The 20293-nt window shown below is 58.3% G+C and overlaps 3 protein-coding genes across 3 annotated transcripts, besides 21 other annotated features; 2 read left to right on the plus strand and 1 right to left on the minus strand.

The window, feature by feature from the left end:
* Positions 1634-2592: an enhancer, noted in NCBI's record as "NANOG-H3K27ac hESC enhancer chr16:3053764-3054722 (GRCh37/hg19 assembly coordinates)". NCBI's record gives its function as "activates a minimal SCP1, AML or CMV promoter by ChIP-STARR-seq in primed H9 embryonic stem cells {active_cell/tissue: H9 hESC(primed)}" and the evidence as "EXISTENCE:reporter gene assay evidence [ECO:0000049][PMID:30033119]".
* Positions 1698-1991: a silencer, noted in NCBI's record as "fragment chr16:3053828-3054121 (GRCh37/hg19 assembly coordinates)". NCBI's record gives its function as "represses an EF-1alpha promoter that drives an FKBP-Casp9 reporter gene in an ReSE screen in HepG2 liver carcinoma cells {active_cell/tissue: HepG2}" and the evidence as "EXISTENCE:reporter gene assay evidence [ECO:0000049][PMID:32094911]".
* Positions 1739-2033: an enhancer, noted in NCBI's record as "tiled region #11969; K562 Activating DNase matched - State 4:PromP". NCBI's record gives its function as "weakly activates a minimal TATA promoter and a strong SV40 promoter by Sharpr-MPRA in K562 cells {active_cell/tissue: K562}" and the evidence as "EXISTENCE:reporter gene assay evidence [ECO:0000049][PMID:27701403]".
* Positions 1739-2033: a silencer, noted in NCBI's record as "tiled region #11969; HepG2 Repressive non-DNase unmatched - State 12:CtcfO". NCBI's record gives its function as "represses a minimal TATA promoter and a strong SV40 promoter by Sharpr-MPRA in HepG2 cells {active_cell/tissue: HepG2}" and the evidence as "EXISTENCE:reporter gene assay evidence [ECO:0000049][PMID:27701403]".
* Positions 1978-2077: a silencer, noted in NCBI's record as "silent region_7100". NCBI's record gives its function as "represses an Ori minimal core promoter by ATAC-STARR-seq in GM12878 lymphoblastoid cells {active_cell/tissue: GM12878}" and the evidence as "EXISTENCE:reporter gene assay evidence [ECO:0000049][PMID:35858748]".
* Positions 2088-2177: a silencer, noted in NCBI's record as "silent region_7101". NCBI's record gives its function as "represses an Ori minimal core promoter by ATAC-STARR-seq in GM12878 lymphoblastoid cells {active_cell/tissue: GM12878}" and the evidence as "EXISTENCE:reporter gene assay evidence [ECO:0000049][PMID:35858748]".
* Positions 3839-4133: an enhancer, noted in NCBI's record as "tiled region #8596; K562 Activating DNase unmatched - State 1:Tss". NCBI's record gives its function as "activates a minimal TATA promoter and a strong SV40 promoter by Sharpr-MPRA in K562 cells {active_cell/tissue: K562}" and the evidence as "EXISTENCE:reporter gene assay evidence [ECO:0000049][PMID:27701403]".
* Positions 5469-6428: an enhancer, noted in NCBI's record as "OCT4-NANOG-H3K27ac-H3K4me1 hESC enhancer chr16:3057599-3058558 (GRCh37/hg19 assembly coordinates)". NCBI's record gives its function as "activates a minimal SCP1, AML or CMV promoter by ChIP-STARR-seq in naive and primed H9 embryonic stem cells {active_cell/tissue: H9 hESC(naive and primed)}" and the evidence as "EXISTENCE:reporter gene assay evidence [ECO:0000049][PMID:30033119]".
* Positions 6429-7386: an enhancer, noted in NCBI's record as "OCT4-NANOG-H3K27ac-H3K4me1 hESC enhancer chr16:3058559-3059516 (GRCh37/hg19 assembly coordinates)". NCBI's record gives its function as "activates a minimal SCP1, AML or CMV promoter by ChIP-STARR-seq in naive and primed H9 embryonic stem cells {active_cell/tissue: H9 hESC(naive and primed)}" and the evidence as "EXISTENCE:reporter gene assay evidence [ECO:0000049][PMID:30033119]".
* Positions 9653-10478: an enhancer, noted in NCBI's record as "H3K4me1 hESC enhancer chr16:3061783-3062608 (GRCh37/hg19 assembly coordinates)". NCBI's record gives its function as "activates a minimal SCP1, AML or CMV promoter by ChIP-STARR-seq in naive H9 embryonic stem cells {active_cell/tissue: H9 hESC(naive)}" and the evidence as "EXISTENCE:reporter gene assay evidence [ECO:0000049][PMID:30033119]".
* CLDN9 (claudin 9) lies at positions 10794-12376 on the plus strand. Its single transcript, NM_020982.4, has one exon. The coding sequence runs from the start codon at positions 11234-11236 to the stop codon at positions 11885-11887; it is 654 nt and encodes a 217-aa protein (NP_066192.1). The 5' UTR covers positions 10794-11233; the 3' UTR covers positions 11888-12376.
* Positions 12054-12221: a silencer, noted in NCBI's record as "fragment chr16:3064184-3064351 (GRCh37/hg19 assembly coordinates)". NCBI's record gives its function as "represses an EF-1alpha promoter that drives an FKBP-Casp9 reporter gene in an ReSE screen in phorbol 12-myristate 13-acetate-treated (for megakaryocytic differentiation) K562 erythroleukemia cells {active_cell/tissue: K562(+PMA)}" and the evidence as "EXISTENCE:reporter gene assay evidence [ECO:0000049][PMID:32094911]".
* A 206-nt stretch (positions 12377-12582) lies between the features above and the next one.
* CLDN6 (claudin 6) lies at positions 12583-16054 on the minus strand. Its single transcript, NM_021195.5, has 2 exons — positions 16020-16054; positions 12583-13913 (listed from the first exon to the last, which is right to left on the minus strand). Exon 2 carries the CDS (start codon positions 13890-13892, stop codon positions 13230-13232), a length of 663 nt encoding a protein of 220 aa, NP_067018.2. The 5' UTR covers positions 13893-13913; positions 16020-16054; the 3' UTR covers positions 12583-13229.
* Positions 13078-13642: an enhancer, noted in NCBI's record as "H3K27ac-H3K4me1 hESC enhancer chr16:3065208-3065772 (GRCh37/hg19 assembly coordinates)". NCBI's record gives its function as "activates a minimal SCP1, AML or CMV promoter by ChIP-STARR-seq in naive H9 embryonic stem cells {active_cell/tissue: H9 hESC(naive)}" and the evidence as "EXISTENCE:reporter gene assay evidence [ECO:0000049][PMID:30033119]".
* Positions 14862-15458: an enhancer, noted in NCBI's record as "H3K27ac hESC enhancer chr16:3066992-3067588 (GRCh37/hg19 assembly coordinates)". NCBI's record gives its function as "activates a minimal SCP1, AML or CMV promoter by ChIP-STARR-seq in naive H9 embryonic stem cells {active_cell/tissue: H9 hESC(naive)}" and the evidence as "EXISTENCE:reporter gene assay evidence [ECO:0000049][PMID:30033119]".
* Positions 15459-16055: an enhancer, noted in NCBI's record as "H3K27ac hESC enhancer chr16:3067589-3068185 (GRCh37/hg19 assembly coordinates)". NCBI's record gives its function as "activates a minimal SCP1, AML or CMV promoter by ChIP-STARR-seq in naive H9 embryonic stem cells {active_cell/tissue: H9 hESC(naive)}" and the evidence as "EXISTENCE:reporter gene assay evidence [ECO:0000049][PMID:30033119]".
* Positions 16653-17248: an enhancer, noted in NCBI's record as "H3K4me1 hESC enhancer chr16:3068783-3069378 (GRCh37/hg19 assembly coordinates)". NCBI's record gives its function as "activates a minimal SCP1, AML or CMV promoter by ChIP-STARR-seq in primed H9 embryonic stem cells {active_cell/tissue: H9 hESC(primed)}" and the evidence as "EXISTENCE:reporter gene assay evidence [ECO:0000049][PMID:30033119]".
* Positions 18017-18661: an enhancer, noted in NCBI's record as "H3K27ac-H3K4me1 hESC enhancer chr16:3070147-3070791 (GRCh37/hg19 assembly coordinates)". NCBI's record gives its function as "activates a minimal SCP1, AML or CMV promoter by ChIP-STARR-seq in naive H9 embryonic stem cells {active_cell/tissue: H9 hESC(naive)}" and the evidence as "EXISTENCE:reporter gene assay evidence [ECO:0000049][PMID:30033119]".
* Positions 18017-19950: a biological region, named in NCBI's record as "MED14-independent group 3 enhancer GRCh37_chr16:3070698-3071897".
* Positions 18088-18307: a silencer, noted in NCBI's record as "silent region_7102". NCBI's record gives its function as "represses an Ori minimal core promoter by ATAC-STARR-seq in GM12878 lymphoblastoid cells {active_cell/tissue: GM12878}" and the evidence as "EXISTENCE:reporter gene assay evidence [ECO:0000049][PMID:35858748]".
* On the plus strand, positions 18239-20254 carry TNFRSF12A (TNF receptor superfamily member 12A). The gene is made up of 4 exons (NM_016639.3): positions 18239-18362; positions 19086-19190; positions 19426-19560; positions 19642-20254. The coding sequence occupies exons 1-4, from the start codon at positions 18269-18271 to the stop codon at positions 19695-19697; spliced, it is 390 nt and encodes a 129-aa protein (NP_057723.1). The 5' UTR covers positions 18239-18268; the 3' UTR covers positions 19698-20254.
* Positions 18568-19767: an enhancer, noted in NCBI's record as "MED14-independent group 3 enhancer chr16:3070698-3071897 (GRCh37/hg19 assembly coordinates)". NCBI's record gives its function as "activates an origin of replication core promoter dependent on BRD2, BRD4, P300/CBP and CDK7 cofactors, and independent of MED14, by STARR-seq in HCT116 cells {active_cell/tissue: HCT116}" and the evidence as "EXISTENCE:reporter gene assay evidence [ECO:0000049][PMID:35650434]".
* Positions 19158-19327: a silencer, noted in NCBI's record as "silent region_7103". NCBI's record gives its function as "represses an Ori minimal core promoter by ATAC-STARR-seq in GM12878 lymphoblastoid cells {active_cell/tissue: GM12878}" and the evidence as "EXISTENCE:reporter gene assay evidence [ECO:0000049][PMID:35858748]".
* Positions 19307-19950: an enhancer, noted in NCBI's record as "H3K27ac hESC enhancer chr16:3071437-3072080 (GRCh37/hg19 assembly coordinates)". NCBI's record gives its function as "activates a minimal SCP1, AML or CMV promoter by ChIP-STARR-seq in primed H9 embryonic stem cells {active_cell/tissue: H9 hESC(primed)}" and the evidence as "EXISTENCE:reporter gene assay evidence [ECO:0000049][PMID:30033119]".

Here is a 20293-nt window from a genome sequence, read left to right on the forward strand (position 1 = left end):
GCTCGGCCAGGCATGGTGGGTCACGCCTGTAATCCCAGTATTTTGGGAGGCCAAGGCAGGAGGATTGCTTGAGCCTACAATTTAAAGACCAGCCTGGGCAATATAGTGAGACCCCCATCTCTATAAAAAATAAATAAGTAAATAAAAACAAATACGAATTTCACAACTCGACTTTTCCCTAAATATTTTGCGTGCCTTAAATGCCTGATTAACGAAATAGCCTTAGACATCTCAAACAACAATTAGAAACATAATCGACTTGACTCTCTTGATTCTCTCTCTCTTTTTTTTTTTTTTGAGACGGAGTCTCGCTCTGTCGCCCAGGCTAGAGTGCAGTGGCGCAATCTCGGCTCACTGCAAGCTCCCCCTCCCGGGTTCATGCCATTCTCCTTCCTCAGCCTCCCAAGTAGCTGGGACTACAGGCGCCTGCCCAGCTAAGTTTTTGTACTTTTAGTAGAGTCGGGGTTTCACCATGTTAGCCAGGATGGTCTGGATCTCCTCCTGACCTCGTGATCCGCCCGCCTCGGCCTCCCAAAGTGCTGTGATTACAGGCGTGAGCCACCGCACCCGGCGACTCCCATCTCCACAAATAAAAAACTTAGCCTGGCAGGGTGGCGCATGCCTGTAGTCTCAGCTACTTGGGAGGCTGAGGTGAGAGGATTACTTGAGCCGAGGAGATCGAGGCTGCAGTGAGCCATGATGGCACTACTGCACTCCAGCATGGGCGAAAGAGCAAGATCCTGTCTCAAAAAAAAAAAAAAAAAGTTTCTATATTCCAATTTTGAATAGATTGACCATTTTATCCTTTTTGTTCTGAGCTACCAGATTCGCACCCATCTGTCATTTACAATTGTTCTTAGGAACTTTAACACAAATGCTAAGTATATTATCACCAAACTTTACTTTTGAATTGTGATATCGTTTTATCTTTCTTATAAGATAACTGAATGGAAATCTGTGCACCTTGACCCATCCACACAGGATCCTCATACCTGAGTTGCAATGGGTAAACAGCAACGAGAGGACAATCTCACACTCCACATCGGTGGCGTCGGGGGGCGGGCGCGGTGGGTCATGCCTGGAATCCCAGCACTTTGGAAGACTGAGGCCGGCGGATCGCTTGAGCCCAGGAGTTCGAGACCAGCCTGGGCAACATGGTGAGACTCCATCTCTACACAAAATATAATAATTAGGCCGGGCGCGGTGGCTCACGCCTGTAATCCCAGCACTTTGGCACGCCGAGGCGGGTGCATCATGAGGTCATGAGTTCGAGACCAGCCTGGCCAACATGGCGAAACCCCGTCTCTACTAAAAACACAAAAATTAGCCGGGCATGGTGGCGGGCGCCCGTAATCCCATCTGCTCAGGAGGCTGAGGCAGGAGACTCGTTTGAACCAGGAGGCGGAGGTTGCAGCTGAGACTGCGCCAATGCACTCCAGCCTGGGGGATAGAGCGAGACTCCGTCTAAAAAAAATTTTTTTTTTAAATTTAAAGACCATAATAATTAGCCGGGTGTGGTGGCGTGCACCTGTAGTCCCGGCTACTTGGGGAGGCTGAGGCGGGAGAACTGCTTTAGTCCGGCAGGTCGAGGCTTCACTGAGCCAAGACCGCGCCACTGCAATGTAGCCTGGGCGCCAGAGTGAGGGGCTCAGTCCCCAAAAAAGCCACCTAAAAAACAAACAAAAAAAAAATTGGTGAGGCGCCGCGCCTCGGTGTCGCAGCGAATCCGCAGATCCTCAAGCCAGGTGGGGGCGCCCACTGCGCGTGTGCAGCGCCTGATAGCCAGGCTAGCTGAGGGCGGGGAGCAGCTGCGGCACCTGGGACACAGCGATTGGCTGGGACCAGGAGAGGGCGGGAAGAAGAACTTGGCGGAGCGCGCTCATATCTCTGATTGGCTGCCAAGGGTAGCCCTTGACAGCTGCCGGGTGGGACCCGTAGACCGCGAGCGCACTGGCCCGTGATTGGTTGGGGTGCGGCGGCGAGCATCTGCGATTGGCTGGGCCGCTCGGAGTGCGGCGCTTGGCCACCTCCCGAGGTACCAGGTCACGGCTGGCGGCGCGCTCTGGGGCCCTGGGCTGGCGGCCGCAACCGGGGTGGCGGCCGCAGCCAAGCTGGCGGCGCGGCTGCCCCGCTCCAGCTCGCACCCGCGGCTCGCCCGCGCCCGCGCCCACTCGCGATTGGGCCGGGCCCGCTCGACGCTGCCGCCCACCCCGCTGCCCCCGCCGTCCCTGCCGCACCCGCCGTTGCCCGGCCTGCCGCCCGGCCTGAGCCCCGGGCCGCCGACGCCCTCCGCTCTCGCCCTGGCCGAGCTGCCACCGCTGCCCGCGCTCCCGCTGCGGCCCGAGCCGCTGGCGCCCTGGGGCCCCGGCGCGCATCTGGCACTGCCCGAGCTGCCGCCCGAAGCCTGCTCACCCGCGCTCTCCGCCGCCGTGCTCGCACTGCAGGACCTGCCGCGCCTGCCCGCGCCCGCGCGCTCCGCCCGCGCTCCTACCGCTGCTTCCGCTGCCCGTGTCCGCCGTCGCCTCAGCCCCTGGGCCCGTGGGCGCGCTCGTCCGCCCGCCCCTGGTCTCCGAGCCGCCGCCGCATCCGCTTCCGCCGCTGCCCGCGCGACCCTCTCCCTTCAGCCTGCTGACGGCCCCCGAGACCCGCGACCCATGGCTGCTGTCCGCCTTTCCCCTGCCACCGCCCGTGCCCCTGTCCCCGCATTTCTTCCTGTCGCCGCCCTGCTGACCTGGCCCCTCCCGCGGCGGGTGAGTAGGCAGCCCCCGACAGGGCCAGTGCCCGTAGCCACCTTCCCCGGGCATGGATTCAGAGGACGGGGGTTAGAGCCCAGTTTGGGGAAGAGAGAAGGAGAATCGGAAGCAGCTCAGGTTTGGTAGAGAAAGGAGCGAGTCTGAAAATAGACTTGTCTAAAGATTCGGGTCTTCCATTTTCCCCTGCTGCCCTCCAGCAGGCCTCTTGCTAGGTTATTTGAGAATGTAACCCGTCCCCTGGGCTGATAACCTGGCTAGTGATCAGGGCAGCGGGCGGGGCCCACAGCACGTGTCCAAGGAAATGGGGATCAAGGGTATGAAAACAAAAGTTTAAAGTGCTGGGCCGGGCGCGGTGGCTCCCGCCTATAATCCCAGCACTTTGGGAGGCTGAGGCTGGCGGATCACCTGAGGTCAGGAGTTTGAGACCAGCCTGACCAACATGGAGAAACCCTGTCTCTACTAAAAATACAAAATTAGCCGGGCGTGGTGGCACATGCCTGTAATCCCAGCTACTCGGGAGGCTGAGGCAGGAGAATCGCTTGAACCCGGGAGGCGGAGGTTGGGGTGAGCCGAGATGGTGCCATTGCACTCCAGCCTAGGCAACAAGAGCTAAACTCCGTCTCAAAAAAAAAAAAAAAAGTTTAAAGTGCTTTAACTATATCCAAATATTTCATTTCTCTTATAAATAAAGGGTCTGGATGCCATGGCTAAGGCCATCCTCAGTGTATGGCTCTTGAAAATTCTGATCCTGCCGCAAAAGTCTTTTTTTTTTTTTTTTTTTTTTTGAGACGGAGTTTCGTTCTTGTTGCCCAGGCTGGAGTGCAATGGCATAATCTCGGCTCACCACAGCCTCCGCCTCCTGGGTTCAAGCGATTCTCCTGCCTCAGCCTCCTGAGTAGCTGAGTTTACAGGCATGCGCCACCACGCCCAGCTAATTTTCTATTTTTAGTAGAGACGGGGTTTCTCCATTTTGGTCAGGCTGGTCTCAAACTCCAGACCTCAGGTGATCCGCCCGTCTCCCAAACTGCTGGGATTACAGGCATAAGCCACTGCGCCCGGCCTTTGAAAAGTCTTCAGAAGTCAAATTTTCAACTGAAACAGATCCAGGGGTCGGGCTGGCTGTGCGCACCAGGGAAGCAGTGGTGGGGATCGATACTGGACCCAAGGGTCACATGCAAGGGCTGTGAAGTCATCCCCATGGGACAGGAGAGCTTCCCCCACCCCCACCCGGGCTGGGCCCTGAGAGGAAGCTCCTGTTCTCTCCAGCTTTGCCTGCACCCCACCTGCCAGTTTCTGTGCAGCCTCTACAACTTAATAAAGTTCTCTTTGTTCCCTAGGTGGCCTGAGCTCAGGTAATCAGGCGAAAATTCTTTCTCAGTGGGCTCTTCTCCAGCAGCCTAGGACTGGTATCAGAAAGCCAACCTTGACCCTGGGGGACCTCGGAGAGCCCGGGACCCACCACCAAGAAGGGCAGTGTACTAGTTCTTTGTGACTGCAGTAAAAATTTTATTTTTTAATTTTTTTTATTTTTGGTAGAGATGCGGTTTCACCATGTTAGCCAGGATGGTCTCGATCTCCTGACCTCGTGATCTTCCCGCCTCGGCCTCCCAAAGTGCTGGGATTACAGGCGTGAGCCACCGCGCCCGGCCTGACCGCAGTAGCAAATTTATACACACTGCATGGCTTCAAACAACAGAAATGTATTCGTTACAATTCTGGAGGCCAAAAGTCAAAAATAAAGGTGTGGGCAGGACCCTGTTCCCTTCACAGGTGCTAGGGGAGGATCCCTCCTGCCTCTTCCAGCTCCTGGTGGCTCCAGGCCCTCTGTGGCTTGTGGCCGCATCACAGGAGTTCCTGCCTCCGTCTTCACATGGCCTTCTCCCCATGTCTGTCTCCAATCTCCCTGTTTTTATGTTGTAAGAGGTTGGATTGTCGTTGAAGGTAGGACCCGCCTGAAACCTAGGATAATCTCATTTTGATATCCTTAGTTTAATTACATGTGCAAAGGCCCTTTTATCAAGTGAGGTCACATTCACAGATTCCAGGGCTTAGAGGGTGGAGGTATCATTTTGCGTGCCCCCATCTGGACATGCAGTGTCCTCTCCCCTGTGGGGCTGACCTACCTTCCTAGCCGTCTTCCCAGAACGTAATGTGTCTTAAATCCGTCATGCTGACCTGGGGCCCTGGGTGCCCTTGGGCAGGAGCTGATGGCACTAGTACCTTGATAAAGTTCTTACTGGCACCAGAAGAGAATAAAGTAACTCTCCTTCCCCTTCTCTGACTTATGGCCAGGTGCCCATTCCCACTGGCTTGCCGCTCCCCAGCTCCCTGCGCTTTATATTGTTGAGGCCTCCTCTCTCAGCTAAGAAACAGGAAGTACACAGATGTGTATTCTTAAAGACAGCATTAGCCACGGGGCCCCCACCCTCAAAGGGTGGGAGCGATAACTGCTGCTGGTTGAAACTGACAGTTACTACTGATAATAAAGTTAATTGTTACCCAGTCAGTGGAGTCTGCCCAGGTGTACAAGTGAAACCTCCATTATGCTTTTGACAAAATATGCTTGTCTTGAGTCAATACCCACCTCGATCCCCAAGGTGCCAGTCCAGGGATGTGCCAGGGTTGAAGCAGAGCTGTCTCCTCTCTGCTTTACAGCCAGGAGCACCTGAGGTTTGGGCAGCTGTGACTTGCCCAGGGAGCCCTGGGGTGGGGCTCGCATGAGGTTCTGGGAGTCCAGCCCGCTGCCCCCTGCAAGTGGGGAGCAAAGGGCACTTCCCTTGCCAGGGACATGGCAATGAGAGTGAGCCAGCTGGTGGAGGGGGCCTCTTCCGTAATCAGATCCAAATGCAGTTTTCTGCAGAGGTTTCCCTGTACTGGGAGCCTCGAAGAATTTGGGACAAGGAGGAACGGGATGGTGCTTGGGAGGCCCAGAAGAAGGAGAGGCCCTGCCCCGCTGCCCTGTCGGGAAAGAGGTTCAGGAGGCTCTCTTAGCCCACCTAGGGGGGCTAGCTCCAAAGTCAGGGTCTGGGTTGGTGTCAGGTGTGTCCTGCTTCCCGCTGTGCACTTGGTCAGGTTCGCTCAGCTCCCTGAGCTTGTTCCTGTCTGTGAAGGTGGGCAGTGAGCCCGTGAGGGTGACAGCTGCAACACCGAGATTTAGCTGCACCTTTTGGTTTGGGAGCTAGGGGACCAGCTTCTCTACCTGTAAGATCTGGGTCTTGGCTCCTCCGGGCGCAGTGGGTGACTCTGCCCTTGGGGTTCTTAGTGTGCTGCCCCCACACCCACCCCCGCACTGTTCCTGGCGCATGGTAGCTCCTGGTAACTTCCTTCCTTTCCTTTGTGGTCAGGCCACACTTCCCCCTCTAAGAGGCGCGGGTTAACCCACTTCGACCCTATCTAAGCTGATCTCTGGTTTCTTCTGCCCACCTGAGCCTCCCTGCCCCTCTTTCCTCCTAGACGGAACAAAAACGAGGTCCATTTTGTCGCTCCAGGAAGGGACTGGTGGAGAGCCGGCTTCCTTTCCTCCCAGGGTAGTACAGTGGGGAAGGTTCCCCTCCCCCACCTCTTTTCCCAGACGTGGTGGATGGGGGAGGGGACTTCGCTGGAGGTGTTAAAGTGCCATTGAGATGGTAACCACACCAAGGGGCCCCCACTTTTCCATATCAATGGCATTCCAGTCCCTGATTAGGCCCCAACCTTAACCCTTCCTTTCCCAAGATCCAACTGAATCCAGGTGCACGGGGGCCTAGGAGAGGGTCTAGGACCTCCCAACCTAGGTCTAGTGAGGGCTGAGGACAACAGGCTAATTGCTACCCATGTGTCCTGGGAATCCTCCCACCATGGGCAGCTCCCCAACCACCCTCTTCCAGCCTCTCCTAGGCTCCAAGATGTTTCTCCACTTTTACTCTCCCCAAGGGGCTTGGGGAGATACTGTGTTTTATCTTAGAGACTTGGGGTGGGAGGAGCCTGAAGCCGCACAGGGCCACTGTGAAGGCAAGTCCAGTGGGTTGGTCACTGAGGTGGGGGTGTGCGCATTTGCTGAGCAGCCTCCACCCACTCTGCTGGCTAGTCCCTGGAGTGTGGGCTTGCTTTCCTTCTTGCTCCGGTGTGGAGATGTTGGGCCAAAGAGGAATTGGGGTCTTAAAAACCTGGGGTCGGCTGGATGCGGTGGCTCACACCTCTAATCCTAGCAGTTTGGGAGGCCGAGGCAGGCAGATCACGAGATCAGGAGTTCGAGACCAGCCTGGCCAATATGGTGAAACCCCGTCTCTAATAAAAATACAAAAATTAGCCGGGTGTGTTGGCACATGTCTGTAGTTCCAGCTACTCGGGAGGCTGAGGCAGGAGAATCGCTTGAATCCAGCGGGCAGAGGTCGCAGTGAGCCGAGATCACATCACTGCACTCCAGCCTGGGCAACAGAGCGAGATTCCGTCTCAAAAAAACAAAACAAAACAAAACAAAACACAAACCTGGGGTCCCCGAGCAAGTGCGGTGGCGCTTGCCTGTAATCCCAGCACTTTGGAAGGCTGAGGCAGGCGGATCACCTGAGATCAGGAGTTCGCAGACCAGCCAGACCAACATGGTGAAACCCCGTCTCTGCTAAATACAAAAAAAGAAAAAAAATAGCCGGGTGTGGTGGCGCATGCCTGTAATCTCAGCTACTTGAGAGGCTGAGGCAGGAGAACAGCTTGAACCCAGGAGGCAGAGGTTGCAGTAAGCCGAGATTGTGCCATTGCACTCCAGCCTGGGCAACAAGCGCAAAACTCCGTCTCAAAACACAAACAAAAAAACCCCTGGGGTCCTCTTATGCCCTTTCCGGGCACAGCGCTCACTGGATGTGTGCAGCCCGCCACTGGGCTACAACGTAGGGGTTTAGAGCTGAATGTGGAACCGGTGAGTCACCGAGGCAGGGCCCGACAGCAAGTGGACCAGCCGTCCCGGTTTCCCTGGAGGACCCAATATTCAAGCTGGGAATGTCCCTCAAAAAAGTGGGATGAGCCGATCACCTTAGGCCCTAGGACAAGGAGGACTTGTTCCGGCCCAGGGAAGAGAATAGCCCCTGGGTTGGGGCTGCTGGGTGGGGGGACTTCCAGGGAGGCAGGCTTGCTGCTGCCTCCTGACAGCTGCCCAAACCTGTGTGGCTGGATTCCTGGAGGCCCCTGGAAGGCTGCGAGGGAGCCCGCTGACCGGCTTGCCTCCGTCTGCAATCTCTGCTCTCCCCACCCCAACCCTGTGAAATCTGAGCCCCAGGGGCTGGGTGAGCTGGACAAACCTGCCACAAGATTCCCTGAGTCCACTGATGGCCATTTTCCAGCCTCTGTATCACCCCCCCATCTTCCAGACTCTGTGGGGCCACCAGGTCAGCCCCCCTCGTACCGGAGGAGCCCCCCTCAGTGGAGAGGCCCAGGGGGTGGTGAAGAGGAGGCCAGGCTTCTGTTTACCTTACAGACCAGCTGATTGGCGCTGGCCTGTCTCTGTGTTTGCAGGGGAGGATCTTAAGCTGTTTTGGGTCAAGGCCCCTTTGCAAATCTGAAGGAAAGTATAAATCTCTCTTCCAAAAGTATCATTTTTTTTAAGAGACAGGGTCTCACCTAGGATGGAGTGCGGTGGCATAATCATAGCTCACTGCAGACTCTAACTCCTAGGCTCAAGAGATCCTCCTACCTCAGCCTCCCGAGTAGCTGGGACTACAGACAGGAACCACCTAACTCAGCTAATTTTTGTGTATATATATATATATATATTTTTTTTTTATTTTAGAAATGGGGTCTCACTGTGTTGCCCAGGTGGGTCTCAAGCTCCTGGCCTTAAGCAATCCTCCCACCTTGGCCTCTTAAGCGCTGGGATTACAGGCGTGAGCCTCAGTGCCCGGACCCAAAAGATGCTAAAACCCTTTCGCAGAAGCGATGCTCATACCCCTAGGTTTGAACCCTGACCGCTCCTTGAGGTTAGAGCCCTTTATACACAATGTCCCACCCACTAGGTGAGGGGCACTGAGCAGGGGTGTGCCTGGCCACTGGCTCCCCGAAGGCAATGCCGTGAAGTGGTGCAGCCACCAGATGTGTGTGGTGGGCACCTCCAGCCCTGCCCGCACTGGCCAGTGGGCTCCAGCACACCCCAGCCCTCCCAGCACCAGGCAGGTGAGAGGCAGTCCCAGGTGAGGGCCCACTCTGAGGATCCTCTGTACCTCCCTGGAAAGTGTATGAATGGAGACAATGTTCCTCACATCCCTTTTCCTTTTTTTTTTTTTTTTTTTTTGAGACAGAGTCTCCCACTGTCACCCAGGCTGGAATGCAGTGGTGCGATCTCGGCTCACTGCAACCTCTGCCTCCGGTTCAAGCGATTCTTCTGCCTCAGCCTCCCAAGTAGCTGGGATTACAGGCACCCGCCACCACGCCCAGCTAATTTTTTTTTTTTTTTTTTTTGAGGAGTCTCTCTCTGTCGCCAGGCTGGAGTGGAGTGGAGTGGTACGATCTTGGCTCACTGCAACCTCTACCTCCCGGTTTCAAGTGATTCTCTTGCCTCAGCCTCCAGAGTGGCGAGTGGCTGGGACTAGAGGCTTGTGCCACCACGCCCAGCTAATTTTTGTATTTTTAGTAGAGACGGGGTTTCACCATGTTGGCCAGGATGGTCTCGATCTCTTAACCTTCCGATTTACCTGCTTCGGCCTCCCAAAGTGCTGGGATATCTAATTTTTTGTATTTTTAGTAGAGACGGGGTTTCACCATGTTGGCCAGGCTGGTCTCGAACTCCTGACCTCGTGAATCGCCCACCTTGGCCTCCCAAAGTGTTGGGATTACAGGCGTGAGCCACCGCACCTGGCCGTCACACCCCTTTTTCAGACAACAATCCTCAGAGGTTCTTAGCACCCAGGCAGGGGCTTGAAGGAGTTCATGAACCCTCCCCCACAAATGAGGGGCACATGTTTGTGGGTGCATGTTCTGTGAGTCCCACGGGGTTTCTCAAGTGGGTCTTTGACCAAAGGAGGTTAAGGACCTCGACCTTCCATGACCTGTCCCAGGTAGGGGTCAGGATTTGAGCTTTGGTCAGTGGGACTCCCAGGCTGTCCCCATGAGTGGAATCACAGGCTCTGAGGGGGTTTTTCCGGAGGTAAGGCTTTCCTGCAAACTGGAAGGCAGGTCTTGGGGACACTTGAGTCCCTGGACTTAACCCCCGTGCCCACCTCTGGGGTGTTTTGGCCCGGGAGGCCTGACTGGCCACTCACTCACCCACCCATGGAACATAACCGGGTCCTGGGCTGTGCCCCACCCTGGGTTCCAGCCCCAGCCCGTCCCGCCTCCATCCCCCTTCCTGAGTGCCCCCCAACCTCCACAACAGGCCCCTCATCCTCTGGCCTCTGGAGATCTTAGGCAGCTCAGCTCAGCCTCGGTTTCAGCAGCAGGGGTGGCAAGAGCGCACCTGAGCTGAGGTTGAAGTGGGGGGTAGTTTTCTAGGCCGTTGCCAGGGCGATGCCACCTGAGCTGGGCGCCAGGCACCTGTCGTCTGGGGAACAGTGCAGGCGGGGACCTTCCCCCGGGAGCTAGCGGGGCCACTGGGCTGAGACGGGGGATGGATCAGATTCCAGAGAGTCCCAGGCGGGCGGGAGTGTGCGATACTCGGGGAGCTGGGGCATGTTTGCATCACGAAACTCGGCTGGGGGAGAGCAGAGGCAGCTGGGGAGGGGCTGCGGAAGGAGGAGGCTCAGGAAGGCAAGCCGACGCCCCCTGTGTGTGTTTCTGTCCTGAGCCTGTTACTTTTTTGACCCCCGATCCGTCTCTTCTTCCTCAGCTTGTCCTCCATCTTCCCCTCCTTTACCCTTGGTTCCCACATGCACAGATGCTACGGACGCTTTTCCTCCCCTGTCCCCACTCAGCCGCAGCATCCCCCGCTGGCCCCCAGGCCCCTCATCCATCCGCTGCCCACGAACCCCCAGCCCCGCACCCTCCCCGTGGCTCAGGTCTCCCCTATCCCGGCCTCCCTGCACTTCACTCTGCTCCTCCCCTGCCTGGGCCTTAAAACCCCGCCTGCAGCCGAGAGCCCGCAGAGTCCCCAGGTGGCACTGTCAGAGTCGCTCAGTGGGAACCTGCGCCAGCCGGCAGGAGACGTGGCTGTCCTCAGCCTGGCAGTGCGTCTGGAGGGCCTGTGCGAGCTCAGCCCAGGTGTGACAGCGGGGTGGTAAGAGCAGCAGCACCCTCAGGGCATCCGATGGGCGGAGGCCCCTCGAGGTGACACCCACCACTCAGCCGAGCGGGACTACGAGTCTGCTTTGTGCTCCGCGAGGACCAGAAACACCTGCAAGAGGCACGGAGAGGAGGCGCCTTTCAAGAGGCGCCTTTCATGGAACTGAGGACTGGCCTGGCTTGGGGACACCAACAAGCCTTCCCCCTCCTGCTGGACACAGAGACACCCACCCAGCACACCAGACACACCCTCTGAGTCACCTAGGCCGCCTGGGGCTGAGAAGACCTAACCGAGGGGCCAGATGGCTTCGACCGGCTTAGAACTGCTGGGCATGACCCTGGCTGTGCTGGGCTGGCTGGGGACCCTGGTGTCCTGCGCCCTGCCCCTGTGGAAGGTGACCGCCTTCATCGGCAACAGCATCGTGGTGGCCCAGGTGGTGTGGGAGGGCCTGTGGATGTCCTGCGTGGTGCAGAGCACGGGCCAGATGCAGTGCAAGGTGTACGACTCACTGCTGGCTCTGCCGCAGGACCTGCAGGCCGCACGTGCCCTCTGTGTCATTGCCCTCCTGCTGGCCCTGCTTGGCCTCCTGGTGGCCATCACAGGTGCCCAGTGTACCACGTGTGTGGAGGACGAAGGTGCCAAGGCCCGTATCGTGCTCACCGCGGGGGTCATCCTCCTCCTCGCCGGCATCCTGGTGCTCATCCCTGTGTGCTGGACGGCGCACGCCATCATCCAGGACTTCTACAACCCCCTGGTGGCTGAGGCCCTCAAGCGGGAGCTGGGGGCCTCCCTCTACCTGGGCTGGGCGGCGGCTGCACTGCTTATGCTGGGCGGGGGGCTCCTCTGCTGCACGTGCCCCCCGCCCCAGGTCGAGCGGCCCCGCGGACCTCGGCTGGGCTACTCCATCCCCTCCCGCTCGGGTGCATCTGGACTGGACAAGAGGGACTACGTGTGAGGCGGAGGTTTCCCCTGGGAGCCCACTGCTCCCCACTGCCCCGCCCTTTCGACCTTGGCCTGATGACCAGATGCCCTGCTCCATCACAACCTCCTTCCCCAGGAAAACCCACTTTCCAAAAGCCCAAGCTACACCTGGCTGCAGGGCTGGGTCAGCTGGCCTGGCTGAGCTCTTCTCAGTGGGGTCCCCTTTGATGTTCTCCCCCAAGTTGGGCAGCCTAGAGGTGTTGGGAACCCTGGCCTGCCCCCACCTCCCCAGTAATTGTTTCCTTCCGTTGCCCAGGACACTGGCTGGCCTTCCTTCTCTTCTGAGCCCTCCCCTGCCCCAGGAACCCTGGCCTCACCAAAACAGCAGCAGCTCGTTGGCTCCAAAACCAGGGAGCAGACCATGCCCTCCCAACCCTGGAGTTGTCAGGGAGGGCCTGCCCATCACCTCCCTCTCCCCAACATCCCCACCCTCGAGTTGGAAATAAAGAGCATTTGTAACTGGGCTCCCTCTAATCTGTGCGCCGCCGCTGGGGCTGGGCAGGCACAGCCAGGTGGCCTCCCTTGGTGGCTGTCAGGCCAAGGTCTGGCTCTAGGTTCTGCCTGGTGGGTATGCTCACTCAAGCCACGGGGAGAGGGGATCGTGACTCACTTATGCCCATCTCTTCCCCTAGCCAGGGTGGGCACTCAGTAACCCGCTGCAACACCAAATGCACTAACAAAACATGCTTTATTTGATAAAAATGTGAGTGTAAAGGGGGTGAGACGAGGGGGGCAGGGCAGAAGGGTGCAGTGTTGGAGGTGGGGGCGGGGGTCTACATAGCTGGGACCTGGCCCTGGGGGGTGGACGTCTTATCAGGACGGAGGAAACAGAGGTCAGAAGTTCCGGAGGTGGGCAGTCCTTTGTTAACAGATCATTTGTTTTTCCAGGGGTGAAGAGAGGAGCTCCAGAGACCTGAGTAGGATGGGGGGCAGCTGTCCAGTGACATCTAGGGAAGCCCAGCCCCCAGCAGCAGCAGGAACTCTTGGGGACAGTCTGTCTTGTTGCAAAGCCAGCACAGCAAGCAGCCTCCGCATTAGTTCCATAGCTTGACTGGCTTCTAAGATGGGCATGTCAAGATCCAGAATCTCAAAGCATCCCCTCTTTGGCTCCATCATCCAAGGGTGAGAAACAGCAGAGCCTAAGTGAGAGTCTGAGTCAACACCTTGGCTCAGTTTTCAAATGAATTTTAAATATCCTCAGTCAAAAGAAAAATAGCAGGAGGCAGAAACAAAAGGTACGAACCCATCCCAAAGCTGTTGGGCACTGCCACTTCTGGATGGCTCTAGCGCCAGCGGAGCCCCCATTCCCCTCCACGTCAGACGTAATTCTTGGTAGGGTACTCAGAGGGCCCCCGAGAGATGGCAGGGGCAGATGTTGAGTAGCGGGCCATGTAATGGCTGGGGCCCTGGGACCCCCCCGAGGGGCAAGTGCAGCACAGCAACCCCCCACCCAGCAACAAAAGGCCTGAGGCCGCCCAGCCCAAGTAGAGGGAGGCCCCCAGCTCCCGCTTTTGGGCCTCAGCCACCAGGGGGTTATAGAAGTCCCGGATGATGGCATGCGCCGTCCAGCACACGGGGATTAGCGTCAGGACCCCTGAGATGACAAAGACAATCCCAGAGGTGAGCACCAGGCGGGCCTTGGAATCCTTCTCCTCCACACAGGTGGTACACTTGGCCCCAGCAAGGTAGACCAGCAAGCCGAACAGGGCCACAAGGAGGGCGATGACACAGAGGGCACGTGCAGCCTGCAGGTCCTGTGGCAGCGCCAGCAGTGAGTCGTACACCTTGCACTGCATCTGGCCGGTGCTCTGCACCACGCAGGACATCCACAGGCCCTCCCACACCACCTGGGCCACCACGATGCTGTTGCCGATGAAAGCGGTCACCTTCCACATGGGCAGGGCACAGGAGACCAGGCCATTCACCCAGCCCAGCAGTGTCAGGACGACTCCCAGGATCTGCATTCCGGCAGAGGCCATGGCGAGGTTGAAGGAGCTGCACTGTGTTTGGGACAGAAGCACAACAAGGTGAGGCCTGGCAGGCCCAGACCTCAGGCCACATGTGGACAGGACTCTAGGGGCATGCACCCTGGAAAGTGGTCATCACATCCTGGAACTCAGTCAAGACATGCTCCCTGAGCCTCACTTCTCGTGGGCAAAATGGACACTTAATGCTTTAGCATTTATTATTCTTTCTAGTTATGTGACAGGCACTGGCTGATGACAGTGACTGTGCAAGCAGCCCTGCCCTGGCTATCCTGAATGCAAATGAAAGATAACAGGATGAAACCTATACAATGACAGTCCAAGGCCAGAGCCAGTGATCAGGCTGCAAGGCGGCAAAAAGCAGGATGACAGGACGGTGCGATTTCCAAGCAGTTTCCGTGTAGAATGGTTCAATTCTAGCCCTGAGTTTAAGGCTCAAAACTTGTCCATTTGTTTTGTTTGTTTGTTTGAGACGAGGAGTCTCGCTCTGTGGCCCAGGCTAGAGTGCAGTGGTGCCATCTCCACTCACTGCAACCTCTGCCTCCCAGGTTCAAGCGATTCTCCTGCCTCAGCCTCCCAAGTAGCTGGGATTACAGGTGCACACCACCACGCCCGGCTAATTTTTTTTTTTTTTTTTTAAGACGGAGTCTCGCTCTGTCGCCCAGCCTGGAGTGCAGTGGCGGGATCTCGGCTCACTGCAAGTTCTGCCTCCCCGGTTCACGCCATTCTCCTGCCTCAGCCTCCCGAGTAGCTGGGACTACAGGCGCTCACCACCACGCCCGGCTAATTTTTTTGTATTTTTAGTAGAGACGGGGTTTCACTGTGTTAGCCAGGATGGTCTCGATCTCCTGACTTCGTGATCCTCCCGCCTCAGCCTCCCAGAGTGCTGGGATTACAGGCATGAGCCACCACACCTGGTCTTAATTTTTGTATTTTTAGTAGAAACAGGGTTTCATCAAGTTGGCCAGGCGGGTCTCGAACTCCTGACCTCAGGTGATCTGCCCGCCTCAAGCCTCCCAAAGTGCTGGGATTACAGGTGTGAGCCACCGTGCCCAACCAAAACTTGTTAATTTCAACACTAAGATTGGAGATCCTAAGCTTCCTCCCACCACCCAATGTCCCTCACAACTTGGTTCCACACCCCAGGCTGGCAGACACCAGGACCAGGAGAGATGAAGAAAAGCATCATTAATCCCCCATCTAAAAGCAGTTCCTCCCCCAAAGCCAGTGGATAACTCCCTGGCCCCACCCTTCTGACCTGCCCTAGGCGCCGGAGAGCATAGCCTCAAGGCTGAGGGCCTTTTCCTATGAATTCTAGACGAAAATGCCGTGCTAGACTCCCCTCAACACCAGTTCTCCCACCGCCACCTGGCCTGCACCTGTGTCCCCTCAGTGTTGGAGGTCGTGGAGGGAATCACTTCTGACTAGGGCCGGGCTGTGGCCTCCCACTGCCCAGAGTACTTTCATTGTACGGCTTGGACCTAAACTTTTCCCGGCCGGCAGCGGTCGGAGGGCAGGCTCTACTCATTAGCCGGGGGCCCCAGGCCTGGGCGGAGCAGACCACCTTGGGGAGACTGGCTGGGGCACGGTGCCCCAGCGCTCAGGTCCGGCCCTTAGGCCTCTGGCCGAGTTAGGGTCGGGGCCGCGCTGGTATAGGCGCCCAGGCCTCTCCCCTCTGAGTGTGCCCCTGCCCCTTTCTTTTTCATGCACTGCATGAAAAAGACTCTGTCCGAGGGCGCCCCGGCCCACCCGACCACCCCAGCCTGGGAGCCGCGCGCCCTGGAGGGGTTCTATAGCTGCAGTGGCCGCAAGGTCCGCTCCCCCAGGTGAGGGGGAGGGGGGAGGGGCGCCCCGCCCCGAGAGGCAAGGCAGGTGGGGGAGGGGCGCCAGGGGTTTCGGAGTCTTTGTCCCTGGGGAGGGGGGAGGGGCGTTTAACCCTTGGGAGCCCCGAAGGACCCTATCACCTCGGAGGCTTGGGCGCGGACCGGCCGACCCCCTCAGGGACTCGCCCATCCAGGTGGCCGCAGCCCGAGTTCGCACGCACCCCTACCCACGCCGCCACCACCCTGCACCCGGCCCCAAGAGGCGTCTCTCCAACACGCACACTAGCCCCGGACTCACCTGCGAAGGAGATAAGGGAAATTCCTAGGCCGAGTGTCGGGACAGGGGCGGAGGCGGGGGTCTTAAAGAAGCGGTGACGTCACTGGACCACCGCCCCGGAGGAGGGGCAGAGACCCTGTCCCTGACGGCAGCGGGCGTGCGAATCCCAGGCTTGTCAGAGGGGGGCGCTGGAGGCTGGGGTCGCTGGGCCCGCCTCGGGCTGGCAGACGTCCAGACTCACCCAGGGTGAGGGCGCCAGGCTTAGGGTAGAACAGAGCTTGAGACTCCGCTTCACCACTTAAGCAGCGCGGTGACATGGGGAACTCACCTAACCTTCCCGAGCCTTCGTTTCCTACTCTGCAAAATGGAGATAACAAGTCTGCATTTTATTATGTAACTACGTCCTAAGGTACAAATTAAAGGGCATACTATTGGTATTATTTTAGAGAAATATTTTCACTGTGTCACCCAGGCTGGAGTGCAGTGGTGCGATCACGGCTCACTGCAGTCTCGACCTTCTGGGCTCAAGCGATCCTCCCGCCTCAGCCTCCTGAGTAGCTGGGACTACAGGCAGCACACGCCACCGTGCCCAGCTAATTTATGTTTTGTTTTGTATAGACAGGGTCTTGTTATATTGCCCAGGCGTCTCGAACTCCCGGACTCAAGCGATCCGCCCGCCTTGGCCTCGCACTGCGCTGGGATTACCGGCTTAAGCCACCGCGCCCGGCCAGATAATATTATTTTTATGTTGCTGGTTTTTTGTTGTTGTTGTTGTTTGTTTTTGAGATGGAGTCTCGCTCTCTCGCCAAGGCTGGAGTGTGGTGGCGCGATCTTGGCTCACTGCAAGCTCTGCCTTCCGGGTTCACGCCATTCACCTGCCTCAGCCTCCAGAGTAGCTGGGACTACTACAGGTGCCCGCCACCACCCCCGACTAATTTTTTTGTATTTTTAGTAGAGACGGGGTTTCACCGTGTTAGCCAGGATGGCCTCGATTTCCTGACCTCGTGATCTGCCCGCCTCGGCCTCCCAATGTGCTGGGATTACAGGCGTGAGCCACCGCGCCCGGCCTGTTTTGTTTTTTGAGATGGAGGCCCTCTCTGTCGCCCAGTCTGGAGTGCAATGGCGCTATCTCGACTGACTGCAACCTCCGTCTCCCAGGTTCCAGAAATTCTCCTGCCTCAGTCTCCCGAGTAGCTGAGATTACAGGCGCCCACTACCACGCCCGGCTAACTTCTTTCTTTTTTTTATTTTTAGTAAAGACGGGGGTTCACCAAGTTGGCCAGGCTGGTCTCGAGCTCCTGACCTCAGGTTTAATTGTTATACCCCCCGGGCCCTTAACAAAGCTGTAGTGGCCAGGCTAACCTGGGCAACATAGTAAGACCCTGGTCTCTACAAAAAATACAAAAATTAGCCGGACGTGGTGGGGCAGGGCCTGTGGTCCCAGCTACTTGGGAGGCTGAGGTGGGAGGCTCACCTGAGCCCAGAGAGCCGTGATCGTACCACTGCACTCCAGGCTGAGCAAGAGTGAGACGCAATCTCAAGGGGAGGTGGGGGGAAGGAAGCTGCAGTGATCTCTGCATGGATTGGTCGTGTGTCTGATTTCTTTTTATTGTTTGTTTGTTTGTTTATTTATTTATTTATTTATTTATTTATTTATTTGAGACGGACTCTCACTCTGTCGCCCAGGCTGGAGTGTAGTGGCGCGATCTCGGCTCACTGCAACTTCTGCCTCCCGGGTTCAAGAGATTCTCCTGCCTCAGCCTCCTGAGTAGCTCGGATTGCAGGCGCGCGCCACCACGCCCGGCTAATTTTTGTATTTCGAGTAGAGACGGCGTTTCACCACGTTGGTCAGGCTGCTCTCGAACTCCTGACCTCGTAATCCGCCTGCCTCAGACTCCCAAACTGATGGGATTAAAGGCGTGAGCCACCGCGTCCGGCCGTTCGTGTCTGATTTCTATATGTGCTGCCGAAGCGAGCACTCGTGTCTAATTTTTGATTTCCCCACACCACGCACGCTGGACTAGATCACCGGCTGGGCAAGGAAGGGGGTCTGCGTCCCTGCGGGGTCCTGGCAGCTCCCGCGCCAGGACTTTGTTGAATGAATGACTGAACTGAGCGGGCGCCGCGGGGCGGGGCGTCCCGAAGCGGACCTCAAGGCGGGCGGAGGCGAGAGCTCCGCCCCGGAAGGCGGGGGCGGGGGCGGGGCGGCGGCCGTGGGTCCCTGCCGGCCGGCGGCGGGCGCAGACAGCGGCGGGCGCAGGACGTGCACTATGGCTCGGGGCTCGCTGCGCCGGTTGCTGCGGCTCCTCGTGCTGGGGCTCTGGCTGGCGTTGCTGCGCTCCGTGGCCGGGGAGCAAGCGCCAGGTACGCGGGACTCCGGGGTCGGGGAACCCCGGGCCGGGGCTCGGGAGCCGGACTGGGTGTCTGGAGAACAGCGCCGAACTGGGGGAACAGGCGGATGTGGGGATCTGGGGTCAGGTGGCCTTCAAACAGCTCGCTCCCGGCTGTGGGAAGTTCCATCACTCTCCAAGCTTCATTCACAATCCGGGCCTCAGTTTCTCCCACCGTCCAATTGGGGTTGGGGGGGGTCTTCAGTTCCACAAGTCCGAAGTACTTCGAATGGAGAGAGAAAGTGAGTGAGGGCGGGATGTTTAGTCTAGGAAGGGGCACGCCCCCAGCCTGGTCCGTACAGGGTCTAACTAGCCCCAGTGATCGACGAGTTGGGGAGGCCGTCGAGAGGCACTAGGGTCTGTGCCCTCTATACCATGTGGGGTGCCCCCTTCCATCCGGTGACTTCAGTGCCCAGCTATGCGGGGGGAGGGACTGGGGTCGGGCCCGGTGCCCAGGAGTGAGTCACCCGCCGGCGGCAGGGGGGTTGTGGGGACCTGACCCCCCCCACCCCCAGCGTCCCGCGCTACGCCCTCCCTCCCGGAGCTGCCGTGTCCCGGTCGGGCCGTGCGGTCACCTGTGAGGAATGCGCGGGGAGGGCGCCGGTGACTCACGTTATTCGAGCCGGCCGACCCTGACCTCAGACCCCAGAATAGCCGAGTCCCGCCCCCAGCCTCTGACCCGAGGCCCCCTCCCCAGGCACCGCCCCCTGCTCCCGCGGCAGCTCCTGGAGCGCGGACCTGGACAAGTGCATGGACTGCGCGTCTTGCAGGGCGCGACCGCACAGCGACTTCTGCCTGGGCTGTGAGTGGGGGGCAGGGCCAGTGGCCAGCGGACCCCAGACTGGGAGGGAGGGTGGCTGGTGCGCAGAGCGGGGCCGAGAGCTTTGCATCTGGGAAATCATTCGGGAGGAGGTGGGAGCTGGGAGGGGGCTCCGGTCAGGGAGGAGGCCACGTTTGGGAGAAGGCAGAAGGCTCAGTCTTAGGGGGCGGGGCTGGCCTGGAGAGGGGCGAGGTCTGACTCCGAGTCCCGCCCCCAGGCGCTGCAGCACCTCCTGCCCCCTTCCGGCTGCTTTGGCCCATCCTTGGGGGCGCTCTGAGCCTGACCTTCGTGCTGGGGCTGCTTTCTGGCTTTTTGGTCTGGAGACGATGCCGCAGGAGAGAGAAGTTCACCAGTAAGTGTGCCCTGGCCTGCCCAGCCCTGTCAGCACTCGACCTTTTCTCTGCTGCTGACGACCCCACCTCTTATCTTGCAGCCCCCATAGAGGAGACCGGCGGAGAGGGCTGCCCAGCTGTGGCGCTGATCCAGTGACAATGTGCCCCCTGCCAGCCGGGGCTCGCCCACTCATCATTCATTCATCCATTCTAGAGCCAGTCTCTGCCTCCCAGACGCGGCGGGAGCCAAGCTCCTCCAACCACAAGGGGGGTGGGGGGCGGTGAATCACCTCTGAGGCCTGGGCCCAGGGTTCAGGGGAACCTTCCAAGGTGTCTGGTTGCCCTGCCTCTGGCTCCAGAACAGAAAGGGAGCCTCACGCTGGCTCACACAAAACAGCTGACACTGACTAAGGAACTGCAGCATTTGCACAGGGGAGGGGGGTGCCCTCCTTCCTAGAGGCCCTGGGGGCCAGGCTGACTTGGGGGGCAGACTTGACACTAGGCCCCACTCACTCAGATGTCCTGAAATTCCACCACGGGGGTCACCCTGGGGGGTTAGGGACCTATTTTTAACACTAGGGGGCTGGCCCACTAGGAGGGCTGGCCCTAAGATACAGACCCCCCCAACTCCCCAAAGCGGGGAGGAGATATTTATTTTGGGGAGAGTTTGGAGGGGAGGGAGAATTTATTAATAAAAGAATCTTTAACTTTAAATGGTTTGGAGAGGCAGTGATCCCCGACTGACTCCCCTGA

Source organism: Homo sapiens, chromosome 16 (genome assembly GCF_000001405.40).
Source record: "Homo sapiens chromosome 16, GRCh38.p14 Primary Assembly".
Classification (NCBI taxonomy): domain Eukaryota; kingdom Metazoa; phylum Chordata; class Mammalia; order Primates; family Hominidae; genus Homo; species Homo sapiens.